We start from the raw sequence: 16550 nt of genomic DNA on the forward strand, positions 1-16550 counted from the left end.
AAATTCATCCAGGTATTTTGAAGCATAAGTACTTTTACTGGGTACTTACTCCTACTGATTTTAATAGGTGCTATAAATTAGCAAAATAAAACCATCAGAACTCTGATAGGTCAGGGTCCCATTAGGAAACAAAAAGCTATCAAAATAGGGTTTATTTGAGGAGCGGTTAATGAAGGGGACATTTATAAAAGTATCAGCAAGAGAAATCACAAGAGAGTGCTTGGGACCTTTCTAAACTCCCCCTATTATTATTTTGTCTTTTTACTGGGCTATTCATTTGTATCCTCTAAGATATCTTTTGTAATAAGCTAGTAATCTTATAAGTAAACTGTTTTCCTGAATTGTGAGCTGCTTTAGCAAATAATGGAAAGTGAGGAGGGGGTCATGGGAACCTTCAGTTTGTAGCCAAGTTGAACAAAATATTGGGCAACCTGGTGATCTACCACTTGAAGTTGGCATCTGAAGGCAGGGAGGGGTGGGCAGCCATGTGGGTGTGAATCCTTAACCTATGGGATCTGTGCTAACTACAGGCTGTTAATGCCAGAATTACTTTGTATGGGAAACCCACATATCTTTTGTCAAAAGTGTTCCATGTTGAATGTGAGTATCAAGAAAAAAATAGTTTTTTTTTTTTATACAGTTAGTAACAGCAGGATGCTACTGCCACTCCTAGTTCTAAAGGGACAAAGGGACAGAGAAGTCACTGGAACCCAGAGAGAAGGTCACCTGTCAGGAGCCATGGCCATTGGTAGAGGGATTCTCATAGGGTTAACAAGAATTGCCATAGTCTTTAGGCAGAATTATAGTTAGAAACTGACCAGGGTGCGCTTTGACCCTGAAGCTGCCGAGTAACTGAGAGTCATGTAGCTTGCTGACCACCTAATCCCTCATTGTTCCTATAGATAGAATCTCTGACACTGGACCTTTTTACGTAAGAATTGCTTAAAGTATTTTTCAGATCCTGAATTCGCAGAATGGCTGACATCAGCCTGTCTGAAGACCCCCACCAAAGACCTGACTCAGCACAGGAATGCAGTTTCGTCTTCCTGTCCCATAATTTCACCCCTCACTTCTCAACCAATCAGTGATCCCCGCAATACCCATCACCTGGCCAGGCCCTTTAAAATCCCTAACCACAAACCCCTCAGGGAGGCAGATTTGAGGTTTCCTCCGGTCTCTTCAATTGACTGCATGATGATTGATTATTAAACTCTTTCTCTGCTGCAACCCCCAGTGTCTCCATATATTGACTCACTGCATCGGGCAAAGGACTCGTTATGGTTATAGTATGCAGCCAGTCCTGACTGGCTCTTCAGGGAAGAAGCTGAGGGAATACTTTTCCTAAACCTCCCTCTGTTTCTTCACTCTGATATTCTGCTGGTCCTTCCTATTGACTGAACCCAGCCAGAATGTCAAGAGGCAAAGGAGCTTGTTGATCCAGTTCATGGAGGTCAGCCTGCTGCAAGATAGGGATAAGGGGAAACTAGAGATCACTAACGTGATTCATATTAGGATACCTCCTTCATAAGCTTTAATGGTTTAAATCTGAGTGTACTTGTAGTACATCTGAACATAGTATTTATTCTACCCAAAATGCCTCTTAATTCTCCAGTCTTCTAAGTCACAGCAACCTCCCCTCTGCTAACCCAAGCTCCATCTGGCTAAAGGTCTAGTTCAAGACTTAAATCAAGTGTTCCCTCCCTGAGAAGGTAGGGTCTGTTTGTGTCTATTCCTGATGACTAGCTAAACCAGTTAGAATTAAGATCGGCTGCATAAAGAAAAACACCTAAAAGGAGAATGGCTTAAATGTGATAGAAGTTTATTCCTTACTTATGTAAATTTGATCTACTTAGAAAAACCTACAAATCTCAAATATTTGTCCTGTAGAAAATGAATGAACTCACCCCATGTACTAGGATCCCAGGTTGAAGCAGAGTTGGTCTACGAAGCTCATAGTCAGCTCACAACTTGAAGATGGAGAAAAAAAACTAGTTTCTACAGGCTTGTAATAATGTCCAAAGAATAATATAAATTAAAAAATGTAATAAGAATAATGGTGGGAGAAAAGGACTTGAGAAACATTGCAAACACATTTTTTTAATAGTATACAAGAAATGTAGAGAAAAGGGGATCTAGTCATGCCAACTCTTTGAAAGCAGCTCTCCAAATGATTTCTTCTCCAATAAGGGTAACCATTGCCCAATTATATGGTTCTCCAGTTACAAGTACATTAGAGGAACTGGCACAGGAGGATAGGAAGATTTCTGCTAATGATGGTCAGTGTTTTCAAACTACATAAAACCTTGAGTAATAGTTGAATGGAGACCCATTTACCAGTTAACTTGGCTAATTGTACTAACTGCCAAGTAAATGGGGATACTGTAGCCCTGCAACCAGACATCACAAACAGCAGAATCATCTATTCTTTGGTCAAGTAATATTGGACTTTATTTGAAAAAGAGGTAACACTCAGAGAGATATCTTGCTATCTGCTGTTACTGCCCTGGATTTTATCCAATTATGTTGGCTACTTCATTTCAGTACTAATTTCAAGAATGTGCTATTCAAAGGACTGAGAGGAGAGAGAAAGAGCTGTGTCACAGCTTAATTCTCAAAAAGATAACTTCAGAGCAAGTTAAATTCCATTTAAAAATGAATATTACAGACAATCATTTTGGAGGAACTAATTTTGCTCATTAGTATTTTTTCAGTGACTCTTACAATGATGGGGGCACTTTGTATGAATACTGTGATTATACTCTGGAATGTGGTTGGGATTTTGTCAGTGGGCTAAACACTTCTGCTGTGGCTTTCGTGATGGCTCTTGCTCCTGCTATTGCTCTCTCCATTCCTTCCCACCCCAATTCCCCAAAATTCTGCTTATACCTCATATTGAGTAATATACAGAGTTTTAAAAATTATTTTTTTTGTGGAGAAGTAATCTAAATATAGCTTCTGGAAGAAAATAATTTGAACTCTCAGGAGAGAGAAAGGAGGTTGAATATTTAGATAGGTTCATACTCGAACACCAACTTTATTAGCTTATGAGAATCCAAGAAAGAAAGGAAAGAAAAGAAAGGAAGAAAGGGAGAGAGGAAGGAAGGAAGGACAAGAGTAAGGATGAGTGGGATGGAGAGAGAGAAGAAAGAAAAATATCCTTCAAATCACAGGAATGTTTGTGAACAACTAACTCAGTGAACTGATCCTGACCAGTACTATGGCATTTGAGATTCGAGATAGCAATCATATCATAACTTTTGAAAGATATTTTACAAATCAATAAAGCAAAACTTTCAAAGAGAAATGTAACATTGCTCCATAACATTTAGACATTTATTTGGTAGAATTCTGAAGAATTTAATTCAATTGGCAGAGACTTAACACAGTATACCTATCCATTAAATCTGAAGAGAAGAGATGAGAATAAAATTCTAACTAGATTTTTTACTGCTTTTGTTGCCATAAAAGGAAAATATATCTCTCTACTGATTCAACACTGTTGTATGGCTTGTTTTATAGAAGGGAATTTAAATTAGTCTTGACTATGCAGGAGTTTTCTACAGGTGTTCCGGAAAAGAAGTATGAATTCTGGTTTAAATGTTAGTTCCCAAATAAAAAAGCACCAGGTTTGCTTTCATATGTCTTGGTGGAAATTAGCTAGAAACAGTTTATCTGTCCTTGAAAAAACATTTTTAAATTGGCTGTAAAGTTTCATCTTCCAGATGGGCAGCCTTAAGCGGGCCCTGCTGAGATGGCACATTAAAGGCCTAAATATGCCATCCGTCTACACATGAATTCCCCAGGTTGTAAATATTTAAAGAGTTGCTGGTGTGTCACGAAAACAGAACTCCACCTTGTGTCTTTGTAGGATGGTTTATAAATAAATCTGTTTTCCACTTTTTCTTGTCTAATCATTTTTATTTAAAGGAGCTGAGCCAGCTGCATTTTAAGGGCTCACCAGTACCTTGAGCCACATAGCTGAATTACATCACCATTAGAAGCTACAAATAGCTGCCATTGTGTTCTGTGGATGCTACCAATACTCATTCATGTTTCCAGTAGAAAACACTGCTCTCTCTTATGGACATAAAATGATACCACTTGCTCAGCAGTGAGACTATAGTTATATTCACTCATTCACGTGCAAACACTGTTCTAGGCTCTGTTAAGTACTGAGTCTACAAAAACAATACTAGCAATCATGATAATGATAATATTTATATCAACAGCTAAGCAACCACTGTCACCATTGAGTAACCACTGTGTGGTAGGCATAGCCTTTTACTTAGTGCTTATGTAGGATTTTATTTAATCCTGTCCAAAAGTCTTTGAGATGGATATAACCTCAGATTTATAGATATGAATTCTTCAGCTCAAAGGCAATAATGTTATTATTGCCATACAATGGTCAACCATAGAACTAAGATATGTTCTTCTAACTGGAAACTTACTGTATTTTTCTATTCATTTTAAACAAGTCAGTTACATTGATTATAAGGAAGGCACTTCCATCTGAGACAGATTGACCCACATTGAATTATGACAGACGGATCCCAAAGGCTATAGCTATATAGGGGAAGGATGACTGCTAGGTGCAAAAAAATAGGAGAAGGCAGATGAGAGAAAGCAAAGTGTATTGATTCAATGAGGAATGCTATGCATAATGAAAGATACAGAGTGATACCAATCTAAGTCTTCATCCGGATTTCTTCAAAGTTTTAGACTCCAGAATTACCAAAGACTTCCTTTTAATTCTGGACAACAACAGAAAGACTTGCTGCTGCTTATTGAGTGCTAACTCTGTATTAGGAACTGTACCAAGCGCTTACATACTCCATTCAATTCAATCCTACCAAATGCAGTTCTGTGAGGTAAGTATATGTGCTCCTATGGTTTACTAAGCCTTGGTAAGATAAAGTGGCTGCTTTAAGTTCATATAGTTTGTAATTGCAGACCCAGGATTTGAATCCAGTCAATGCTCTTCACCACTACACCTACTGCTTCCTATGTAACTATATAACTAAGACAGGAGAAGAGTTATTTGACACAGAATTATATTCTACCCTTGACTTAATCTCTATCATCCTGAGACATTTCAGATAGGAATCCAACATAGAAAAAATTGTGTTCACTCAATGAATGTATTGTGAGATGACTTTTTTTTTTTTTTTACTAGCAGTCTAAATTTCAATGTTCAAAACTCCATGTTTTGTGTATGGGAGGTGACAGCAAATTTTAATATAGGGTGTATTTAGTGCATCTTGAGTTTAACTCCCATTTTTAAAGGCAATAATCTATTGTATGGTATTTTTTAATGTAAGAAGCAAATTTCTATACTTGCTGAACAGACAACTGCATATCCAAAGACAATATTTTGCCAGCAATTAAGCTAATTATAATAACAATTAATGTTTATTGAGGACTTACTACATGATAAGCCTTCAGGTATTTTATTTAATCTTGACAAAATGATTATCAAGAACATCTGAAAGCTGCTATAAAACAAATATTTTTGAGAACCTACTCTGTGTTCGTGAAACTCATATTCTAGAAGATGTTAAAGTAGTTAACTAAATATCTCAAGGTGAAGAATTGAGTAATTTAGGAAAGAAATCAGAAAAAGAAGTCATTTTTTTGTGCCTTACTATCTTGAAGTCCTCTCTCTGAAATAATTCACTTTAGAATAACTTTGGGGCCAGTGATAAGACCAAACTTCACATTGAAGGATACACATAATTCACACACATAATAATGCAATAACGATTTTGCTGTTTCAAAAGGTAGAACAACCTACAGTTGCTTTGAATATGTTTTGTTAAAAAGAATTGAATGTGTTCCAATGTTCAAAGCTGATGATTATAAAATTATTTATGTAATTGAAATATTCTTATTTTAAATAAAATATTAAAATATCCTTTTCAATAATACAAAATATTTCAGCAAGTAGGTGAGAAGCAGAGAAAATTTGAAGATGATGCCACAACAAAACTTCTTTCTAAAATTCCACTCCTAAGATATTTTTTCTTTTATTTGTGTCTAAATTAATGCATGTGAAGGTTGTACTTACCTCTCTCTGCTTTTGTTGTCATTTTTACTACCAGTGAAATATCACTAAGTTGTCAAATGTTGATGTTTTGTGGAGTTCAAATGTCCTTTGAGAGAATATTCAAGTGTAAACAGAAGGGAGATGCATAACCAGCCAACTGGATCAACTGTGCAGTCTGAAGGAAAATAGCTTCTGTTGCTTTTTTTGTTTCATTCATATTACATATAATATTCATTGAAGGAAAAGCAAATAATCACCCCCAAATTCTGCTCTGAAATAACTGCAAAAACATTTATGTTTATTATGGCTCTCCATCCTTTTTTAATGCATATAAACACAAAATATGTGCAATATATGTGGTAATAGTAAAATTGATTTTTTATTTAATATTTTATAAAAATTTTTGTCAATATCAATGAATATAAAACTATATCATGAGTTTTTTTCCTATGTGCGTAGCATTCTATTTTGTCATAGGATATTAATCATCTTTAGTTGCATATCTTTGTTTTTTCCCCAAATTTTCAATATTATAGATAATATTACAGCAAAAATATTATACGTAAATGTCATTATATAGAAACATACATTTATATATATAAAACAACATTTTTATATAACTATGTAAGTAGGCATATAAAACAAAATTTACCAGAAGTAAAATTGTTAATTCAAATAATATGCTCACTCAAATGGAGTAATACATACTACCAAAATGTCTACCAGAAAGATGGTACCATTTTAAATCCCTAACAACAGAGTATAAAAGTACCGTACTAATGTTACTACATCTTGCTAAGACCTGGTGTTACCATGCTTTTAAAACTTTCCCATACTGAGAAGTAAAATATAACGTACTTTTCTTTTAAATGTGCATTTATTTAATTTCTAGTGAATTTGAACATACCATATAGTTCATGAATTAGCATTTTATATATGTGCCCATTGTTTTGTCTTTTGTTGAATAAATGAATTATTTGCCATGTGTATTGCAAACATACTTTAGTTTGTCATTTACATTTATTTTTATGGTAGTTTTTATTTCAATAAAAATACTTGAATTTGTTCAATCTAATTTATATTCCTAACCGATAGTTCATTGCAAACTGCTTAAAATTAAATTCATAAATGGGATCATGTGTGATCAAATGTGCTTTGGCACTCGAGTCTGAGACTCCTTGAAAACTTTTCACTATTAGTAGATTTTTCTGCTATCACTAGCTAGAGCATTAAGAGAACTTTGCTATCATTTCCTAATATTTTCCATGCTCAGTCATTAAAAATTCAAAATCAATGGTAGAAAACAAACTGAAACTTCGTGGGTGATGAAATAAAATTGAGCTAGTTATAAATACAACATTTTTTTTTATATTAACTTGGTGCACTTACTTCACTAGAAGTCTGGTTAATCAGCCCAATCCTTTATACTTCCAAATTTTAGATTCCCCCTTTGCTAGTTAAACTCATATTGTTATATAATATTATGACATTTAATTACTTTAGAGATAACTTGTCTCCTCATTTCTCAAATGACATTAACAACTTACATAAGTTGTTAATAACTTGATCAAGATTACTCTGTAGCAAGACTAAAAACTAGGTCTTTTGATTTTTACACTGCATTATACTTCTCTTCCATGGGTCAACATCGGCGATATTTGCTGATTTTAATTTCAACAAATTGTTTGAATTTTGAAAAAAAAAAAAAAAAAACAAAAGTAAAATTATGTGGCGTGATCAACACATTGAGGGATAATCCCAGAAAGAAATATGTTCCTTTGTTGACCAGAGTCCAGAATAAGGCTTCTCAGTTGCTTTATTGCTACTCCCAGCCCAGGAATCCGGGTTTTAATCAACAGTCCTAAGAGAAAGAGGGACCCTACGCGAGAAAGAAATAGAAACTGAATTCACATTTTTTAAGGAAATTCTTCATGAAGGATTGAGATATTATAAAATAAACAAAATTTCGAAAACCCTGTGCAGAGGACTAGAACTCAGTCTTATTGTTCAGGTGATTTGAAATATATCTCCAAAAGGAGCACCAGAATGTAGCTGATGAGGGCAAAAGAAAGTAAGAGTCAGGTGCAAAAGTCGGGATTTGGGGCAGGTCAAATGGATAAAAGTTGGCAACAGAGTCAAAGGTAGACCAGAAAGTAAAACTGGGTAAGACGTTCCATAAGAAAGCATTAGATCAATTGGACTGAGGTTCTGGCTTCAATCATCTCTTTCTTCACATGGTCAAGGGTTGGATGCCATGGGGGAGATTCTTGGTTTCTGGCAGTCCAAGTCTTTCTTTTTTGTTGTTTTTAGAGACAGGGTCTTGCTCCATTGCCTAGGCATCGGAGTGAAATGGCCACCACGCTTGCCTAATTTTTTTTTTAAAGTTTTTGAAGAGATAGGGTCTTGCTGTGTTGCCCAGGCTGGTCACAAACTCCTGGCCTCAAGAGATCCTCCTGCTTTGGCTTCCTAAAACACTAGGATTATAGGCATGAGCCACAACACCAGGTCAGCCCCAGAGCTTTCATTTGAGATGAACATTGTTCTTAGTCCAGCCACTTGGATGCCAATGAGCTAATCCTGCCCTCATTTGGTGTCAGAAAATCTCAGGTTCAAATCTCGGATTCACTGTATTATTAACTATGTGATGTATGGACAATTTGGGTATACTCTTTCAACCTCAGTTTAGATAAAAATAACTACCCCACTGGGCTCACATTAAAAATATTTGTATAATGTAACAAACTATATATATATATATATAAACTATATATTTAAACTATACATATATAAAATATATATATATAGCTAACAAACTATATATATATGGCTTAGCTTCTTAAATGGCACATAGTAAGATCTCAATAAATGAACTGCAGAAGGTTAGGACTCTTTCTGTAATAACTTTAATTTATCAAACTTTTAGATTGTTTTAAAATCTTCTAGTTCACACTCAGTGGTCCAATTAGGTTTCTTTTTATCATACTTTAAAGGTAAGTTTTTAAAAAAGTAACATAAAGGTAATGAAAAGATAAAAGTAATTCTGTTTTGGCTTACGTTTCATGCCCCATGTTTACTTTGGTGCAGGAATGGAAACAAATGGAAACAAATAAGATATTAATTCTAATTATAAAGTGAAGCTAGAATTTGAACAAACACAAAACAACCTCCCAATTTCCTAATAAGTCACAAGTCTCAAGAGAGATGAATAAATGGCATCTTAGTCCTACAGTCATGCACATAATTCTCTTTTAAATTTCTGATTATAATTCTCTAATTTTTACAAATGATGAGCATTTCCCTGGGGCTTGAGTTGTTCAGGACACTAACAGAAGACTTGCATTCTTGTATTTCAAGATAAATTTTCATTGCAAATACAGAAGAGCCACATGTCCCTGGAATTTAGATATTACAATCACAGACACTTAAAAAAAAAAAAAGTAAATTTACTAAAGGCAGACACAGTATAAAACTGAATGTGATGAGAAAATAAATTCACTTATCATACAAACTATTCTATTAGTAATTGATTTGTATAAAATTAATAAGTCTTTCTTGAAATTCAGATATAAAATTTATCAGCCTCATTTTCTAATCTTTTTATTCAGGTGTCATGAAAATTCTTAAATTATTAAAAGGCTTATGTGTCCTTTCAACTTTTGACTACTCAAGTTGTGAATTTTCTTTGAATAGTAAACTAATGTATAGTGAAATGATTAGCATTATTATAATATATTACATGTTTATCCTCTTAATGACCACCAATATATTTTATTAGTGATATATTTAATATGCATATATATCTTCTCCCTCTCTCTCACTGACTCAGACACACAAAATAAATCACTACAATTTCCAAATTTAGGTTTAGAGCTCCAAATTACATTAATATTTTCTTTGGCATAAAGAGATTTTCTCAAGTTTCTAAGATAAATCTATTTTTAGAGTTAACATAATTGTAAAGAGGGAGGTTATTGCTACATGACCGTACATTTTCTTTTCAGTGTAAGAAAGGGAAGAAGGAAAGGAGGAAAGAAGGGAGGAAGGTAGGAAGGGAAAGAGGAAAGGAGGAAGGGAGAGAGGGAGAGAGGGAGGGAAGGAGAGAGGAATGGAAGGAAGGAAGGAGGGAAGGAAGAAAGGAAGGAAGGAAAGAAATTATTGTTAAAGACAGAGCCAATCAGGAGACATGAATTTCAACTTCAAAATTATAATTAAGTCTGGTGAAATGGGTGAAAAAGTAAATACAAAGTAGGACCAACTTTCTCGGGGCACTTTGAAACTCTCCATCAATCTCCTTAAATTTTCATGTATATATATATGTGTATATACACATATTAAAAAAATACATATATACGTATATATATATGTATATATATGTGTGTGTATATATACGTATATATATACATATATATACACACACATATATATACGTATATATACACACATATATACGTATATATACACACATATATACGTATATATACACACATATATACGTATATATACACACATATATACGTATATATACACACATATATACGTATATATACACACATATATACGTATATATACACACATATATACGTATATATACACACATATATACGTATATATACACACATATATACGTATATATATATATACATATATATATATGTATTTTTTTTTTCGAGATGGAGTCTCGCTCTGTCACCCAGGCTGGAGTGCAGTGGCGCGATCTCGGCTCACGCAACCTCCGCCTCCCAGGTTCAAGCAATTCTCCTGCCTCAGCCTCCTGAGTAGCTGGGACTACAGATGTGCACCACCACGCCTGGATAATTTTTTTGTGTATTTTAGTAGAGACGGGGTTTCACCATATTGGTCAGGCTGGTCTTGAACTCCTGATCTCGTGATCTACCCTCCTTGGCCTCCCAAAATGCTGGGATTACAGGCACGAGCCACCGTGCCCGGCCCAATTTTCATATATTTTGTTAAATTAATTCCACTTCTAGAAATGTAGTTAATAGAGAAAGATCAGAGATGTACCAACATATTTATGAAAAGATAGTAAACATACCAATATTTTACTATAACAAATTGAAACATCTAAAATATTTATTAGTATGGAATTAAATAAATTTTTATTAGGTCTGTTTACATAATAATAGGGACAGGAGGCAGGGAAATTTGGGGCAGAAGAGAGCGGGTCCCTGGCAAAAACCCCACCCTCAAGCCGAAAATCCTGATACCATGGCCCAAAGTGAGAACTTACATCCCTATTTTCCTGCTCGAATGTTGCCTTTTCCAAAATCACCCATGGCCTGCCCCACCCCCTATCCTGTGCCAGTGAAAACCCCATCCTCAGCTGGCAGAGATAAGAGAAGCAAATGAACTAAGGCTGGACATCAGAGAGAAGCAGCTTGACTTCAGGGGGACAGCTTGACATTGGTACTTTGGAGAAGAATCTGACCAGAGATGGCCGGATTTCAGGGGAAAATTACCTCCATACCCTGTCCCCTTTTCAGCTCCCCTTCCCGCTGAGAGCCACCTCCACAACAATAAAATCCCCCACATTTACCATTGTCCAATTCATTTTGTAACCTCATTTCTCCTGGTTGCCGGACAAAAGCTTGGGTGCCACGAATGCGGATACAGAAGGCTGTCACACTGACCCTTTGCCCTCGCTGGAGGAAGGCAGCTGCCTCACACAAAAAAGCAGAGGGCCCGCTGAGTTAATACTTAAGCTGTCCGCAGACAGCAGAGCTAAAAGAGTACTGTAACACTTCTGGGCCTCCAGGGGTCGCAGGCATCTCCCTAGAAACTGCTGCGGGGCCGGTGCGGAGTTTGCTCCTGCTGGTGCCCAAAAACGCTCGCCCCAGCTCCTGCACTCATTCTTCTGCTTGCTCCCTCCAGCAAGCAGCGGAATGCAGCAGGTCCGAGTGAATGGAGTTTGCCCCTACCAGCACCGAAGCAGCTGGCTAGTTCTTGCGCTCATGTACTCCAGTTCCTGCCCGCAAAGGGGTCAGGGAAATATCCTGCTTTATCAACACAATACTATAGAGCACGTAACTAATTTTAAGTTAATATCTAGGAACATGGAAATATGCTTATGATAAAAAGTTAATTGAAAAAAGAGAAAGAACATTATAACCTCAATTTTGGAAGAATATCTGCCAAAATGTTAACCCCTATAATTATTAACAGATGATGTGATTAGGAGAAGCTTTTATATTCTATTTATACATTTCATATTTTCTGCAATAAACATGTAATTTATCTAATCATAATAAAATAATGGCATATAAAACTTGTACCTATAGCTACGATCTCTTATGAGCACTGGAACTTAAATTGGCAAATGGCTTCTGATATCACACTACAGATTATTTCTCTGATTAGCTCAAGCTCCACATATCCCCTAAATCTGCTATTTTTCAATAATTTCCTAATTCTGTTGATTTAACTACCATCTGCTTAGTCACCCAAGTTAGACATTTAAATTCCTCTTGATCTGTTTGTCATTCATCGTTCAGAATAATTAGCTCTAAATTCTAGTGCATTATTTCTCCTAAATGGCTAAGTACGTCTTCTCTGTAAATTAACGGCACCTACAGTTCTAAACATGTTACAGAAAATTAACAAATACATATTTGAATTCTATTTTTTAGAGAGTTCAAGCCAGACGTATGCTCCAACCACACCAAATTCATCATTTCCTAAGCAAAAAATACTGTTCTCCTTAAAATTTTTACTCACTATATAAAACAGCAAAAGTGTCCCCTCTCCCGTATTTTCCTCTGGGTAATCTTGGCGTTCAATCCTGGTAAACTGAACCAATTTTATAGCACCCCAAATACTTAAATGCACAACCTACTTTTAAAGAACCCAGCATATTGAATTGCGATTATTTGCTTTCTGTAACTTATCTTCACTAGATTGTGGTCTACTCTATAGAAGGGATCATGCTTTGAACCTCATCTTGAAAGGAGATTCAATCTTTCCTTCTTGCTCCTAATATCAACAGAGGGTGGAATATATGGTAGGCATTCAGTAATTATTTTCTGTATTACATTATTTTGATTGTTACTCTATGTTGTACTCCTAAATTCAAACTGCAAATTTCTATTGATTTCATTGATAAACACATCTATTTCACTATAGTCTCAGTTCATACAACTCTTAGAATTTATATCGATGTCATTTAAAAGTCAGAAAAGTGACTTCTCTTTAAGAAAGATATTATTAAGATAATTATAATAACTTTGGTAAGGAAACCTATGTTTGTTGAAAATTTTCTAAGTACCAGGATTATGCCAGACACTTTAAAAATTTATTTGTTTTCTTAATTCCTACTTACAAATGAGGCAAGTGAGGACCAGGAAGTTAAAAAAACTTTGATAAGGTTCGCAGCCAGTTTAATGTCAGATCTATATAGGACCAAGTCTGTATCATTAGAAAATCAATTTTCTCAAATGAATTGAGTGGAAAGTTTTTGTAATAAATAATACAAATTTGCTTATACGAGTGTTATGTGGGCATATGGGTATTTTCTGAGCTGGATCAGAAAAACTGTTATGGGGCAAGTAATAATAGTACTATACAATTTCAATTATTTTAATATTTGTAGGGAATATTACTCAACTAAATAATAAATGTATGATATGATCCTGAATTCTCTTATTTCCCCTTTGTGTCTGCAATTGACAAGATATTTGACAATGTGTCTCAAGATATCCTTAGGAATAATACAAAGAAATATGGCCTAGATGCTAATGCAATTAAGGTGGAAAGAAAGTGCTTATATTATCATACCGAGAAGCTATTAATATGTTGATTCCAATCTGTTGCCATTTTATTAATGCCTGTAATGAAGAATTAGAGAGTATACTTAATACATTTGCAGATGATAAGGTTCATTGATATGACAAAAATTCACTGGAAAAGCAGAATCAAATGATACATAGAGATTTGATGAATGGGCTAAATCTTCAGAAACTGCATTTGAAAGGAATTACTATGAATTCTTGTCTTTTGTTTCAAAAACCTAAGTAGCATATTAGGAAAAGATAATCACATGCAGAGATGGAGAAATTTGAAAATTAGGAGGGTGTGTTGTTTCCTTTAGTTGTCACCTCAAGGTAAATCAAAAAGGTAATGTTGTTGCCTCAAACAAATAAAACCCATAGGCAAAAGAAAACTAGAATTTCTGTGTAACACAATCTGTGAAGGAATCATTTTCCTTAATAAATATAGAATCATCCAGGCTTTAGAAGCTAGCAGCAAATGAGAATTCTCCAGGTGGGGAAGGGAATCTGATAAAAACAGATTTTATGAGATTGTCAGTACATTTGGCCTTTTCCTTAGAACTCAGCCACTTAGAATACAGCTGCCTTCAGGAGGCTGGATGACAACGTGCATTGTTCCCCTCCAATCCAAGCTAGGACAAAAATATTTATTTTGCATATGCATCTCAAAATTGAGCCTGGTTGGAATTTTCAGAGATTTTTCTGAACACTAAGGGAAAAACAGAAGAGAAATGGCCAGACACCAAGAAATACAGAAGTAGTTTGTCTCGAAGATGCAAGCCCAAGACTCAGACTCTGCCTTAATCTACCATTGTCCCGAAGTAGAGACACCTGCCTACTCTCCCAAAAGTTTCATGGAGCTTAGTAGGTGCAAGGCCAAAGTTTCCTCTTTGAGACACAAAGTTAGCTCTCGCTCTTAGTGAGCCTCCCCTTGAGGAATGCCACTTTTTGATTCATTTTTCGGGAACCAGCTGCCTAAATACCTTGTTTTCCTGCTGCATCCTAATCTTCTGTTCAGTTCAGCATTTAGGTCTGAGGAACATAAATCTTCAACAATAATTAGGCAGATTTACACTGCATGAATAACTTCAATTTCACCTTTCAGGTGATTCTGTATTTCCTATACTTGGAAAGAAACTATACTTTTTCATGCACCAAGAGTAACAATATTCTAATTCAAAATGTGTCCTGCAAGACACTCTATGAAAAGGGTCTTGTGTCAAAAAATTTTGGAAGCACTGCTCTGTGTTTATCCCTCAAGGAGTCTTGGACATGATTATAATAGCATCTTAAGGGTCTAACATGGCCTGCAATTTAAAAATCTCTTAAATTTAAATGTTCTAAATCTCAAGTTAACTGAAAGTTTTCCAAGCTAATTTGACCAGAGAACAGATTATGCACATAAATTGTGTTGTGTGTTAATACAGCACCTATTAACCTCCTATGGAAGGTAGTTTGTACAACACTGCTCTTTACCAAAGAAGTGTACAGTCAGATTTTACACATAACATGCGATAAGCAGATCACTGCCTCTCAGAAGTTAGTTTCTGAGAATCAGATGGGTCCTGCTCTGTATGTTCAAATACATACTATTTCAGTTTTGAGAACCATTTTTCTTAGTAATCTGGACATGTATGTTTTTTTTTCAAATGAGAAGAACCAGATTTTAAAAAATGATTGAAATCATGCCCCATGATATATATTTGGAGTAACAGGGGATGGGATGTCTAGTATGTAGAAGAGAGATGTACAGTGGGGAAAATGTCATTGATTGCCTCAGTATTTGCAATTGACATAAATCTATGTGAAACCGGTTTTGGGGGGCCAGGCGGGGTGTCTCTTGCCTGTAATCCCACCACTTTTGGAGGCTGAGTTGGGCATATCACTTGAGGTCAGGAGTTCGAGACCAACCTGGCCAACGTGGCAAAACCCCATCTCCACTAAACATACAAAAATTAGCAGGGTGTGGTGGTACACACCAGTAGTCCCAGCTACTGGGGAGGCTGAGGCATGAGAATCGCTTGAACCCAGGAGGCAGAGGTTGCAATAAGCCGAGATTGCCCCACTGCACTCCAGCCTGGGCAACAGAACGCAACCCTGTCTCAAAAAAAAAAAAAAAAATCCAAAACCAAACCAAAAACAAATAAACAAACAAAAAAACCCAGAAGCTTTTATGTACTATCTCAAGATAAAGACAAGGGCCATGAAGGGCCACTAATTACAGCCCAGTATAACAATGCTTTGTAACACAGCTATTAGAAATTTAATATGCTGACTCCCAAGTATGTATGGGTCTTATTACTGGGGAAGGTTCTTTGATTCACCTGTATCCCAGGTGCTCATACAACTCCTGAAAATACAAAGGTGATTTCTACATATGCACTCTTAAGCCAGAAGCACACACATCACATACAGGCATAAAAGTATTCTCTATGGCTTTGACAAAGACCTTTTCAAAGCTTTGTAAATATACAGAAGAGGGAGTGGTTAGTTCTAACTAAAGTCCAAACCTGCTTCACAGATGGTGTTTCAGCGCACTTTGAAATATTTCAGCCAAAATATTGCAGAAAAGAATCTAGCTTTAGCTTTATAGTTGGATGATATGATTTTGAGATCTCTTCAATATCTACTTATCATCAAATTCTGTTTATTATTCTAATATTCTTTTTAGTATTTTAAAACTATACCAAGTCTAATACTTTGATTTTTACCATTCATTGGCA

The 16550-nt window shown here is 35.5% G+C and overlaps 1 long non-coding RNA gene across 2 annotated transcripts in view; it reads left to right on the top strand.

Moving 5' to 3' along the window:
- The window catches only part of LOC105377329 (uncharacterized), a 94057-nt gene extending 78070 nt beyond the window's left edge, over nt 1-15987 (top strand). Inside the window, exon 4 of one of the 2 annotated variants that reach the window (XR_007058469.1) lies at nt 12958-15987. This is a non-coding gene — a long non-coding RNA (uncharacterized LOC105377329). Of the gene's footprint in view, nt 1-948; nt 1228-12957 lie in introns of those variants that run through there. The other variant, XR_007058468.1, reaches the window with a different exon arrangement.
- Nucleotides 15988-16550: the final 563 nt, after the last annotated feature.

The sequence above is a fragment of the Homo sapiens genome, chromosome 4, assembly GCF_000001405.40.
Source record: "Homo sapiens chromosome 4, GRCh38.p14 Primary Assembly".
In the NCBI taxonomy this organism is placed as follows: domain Eukaryota; kingdom Metazoa; phylum Chordata; class Mammalia; order Primates; family Hominidae; genus Homo; species Homo sapiens.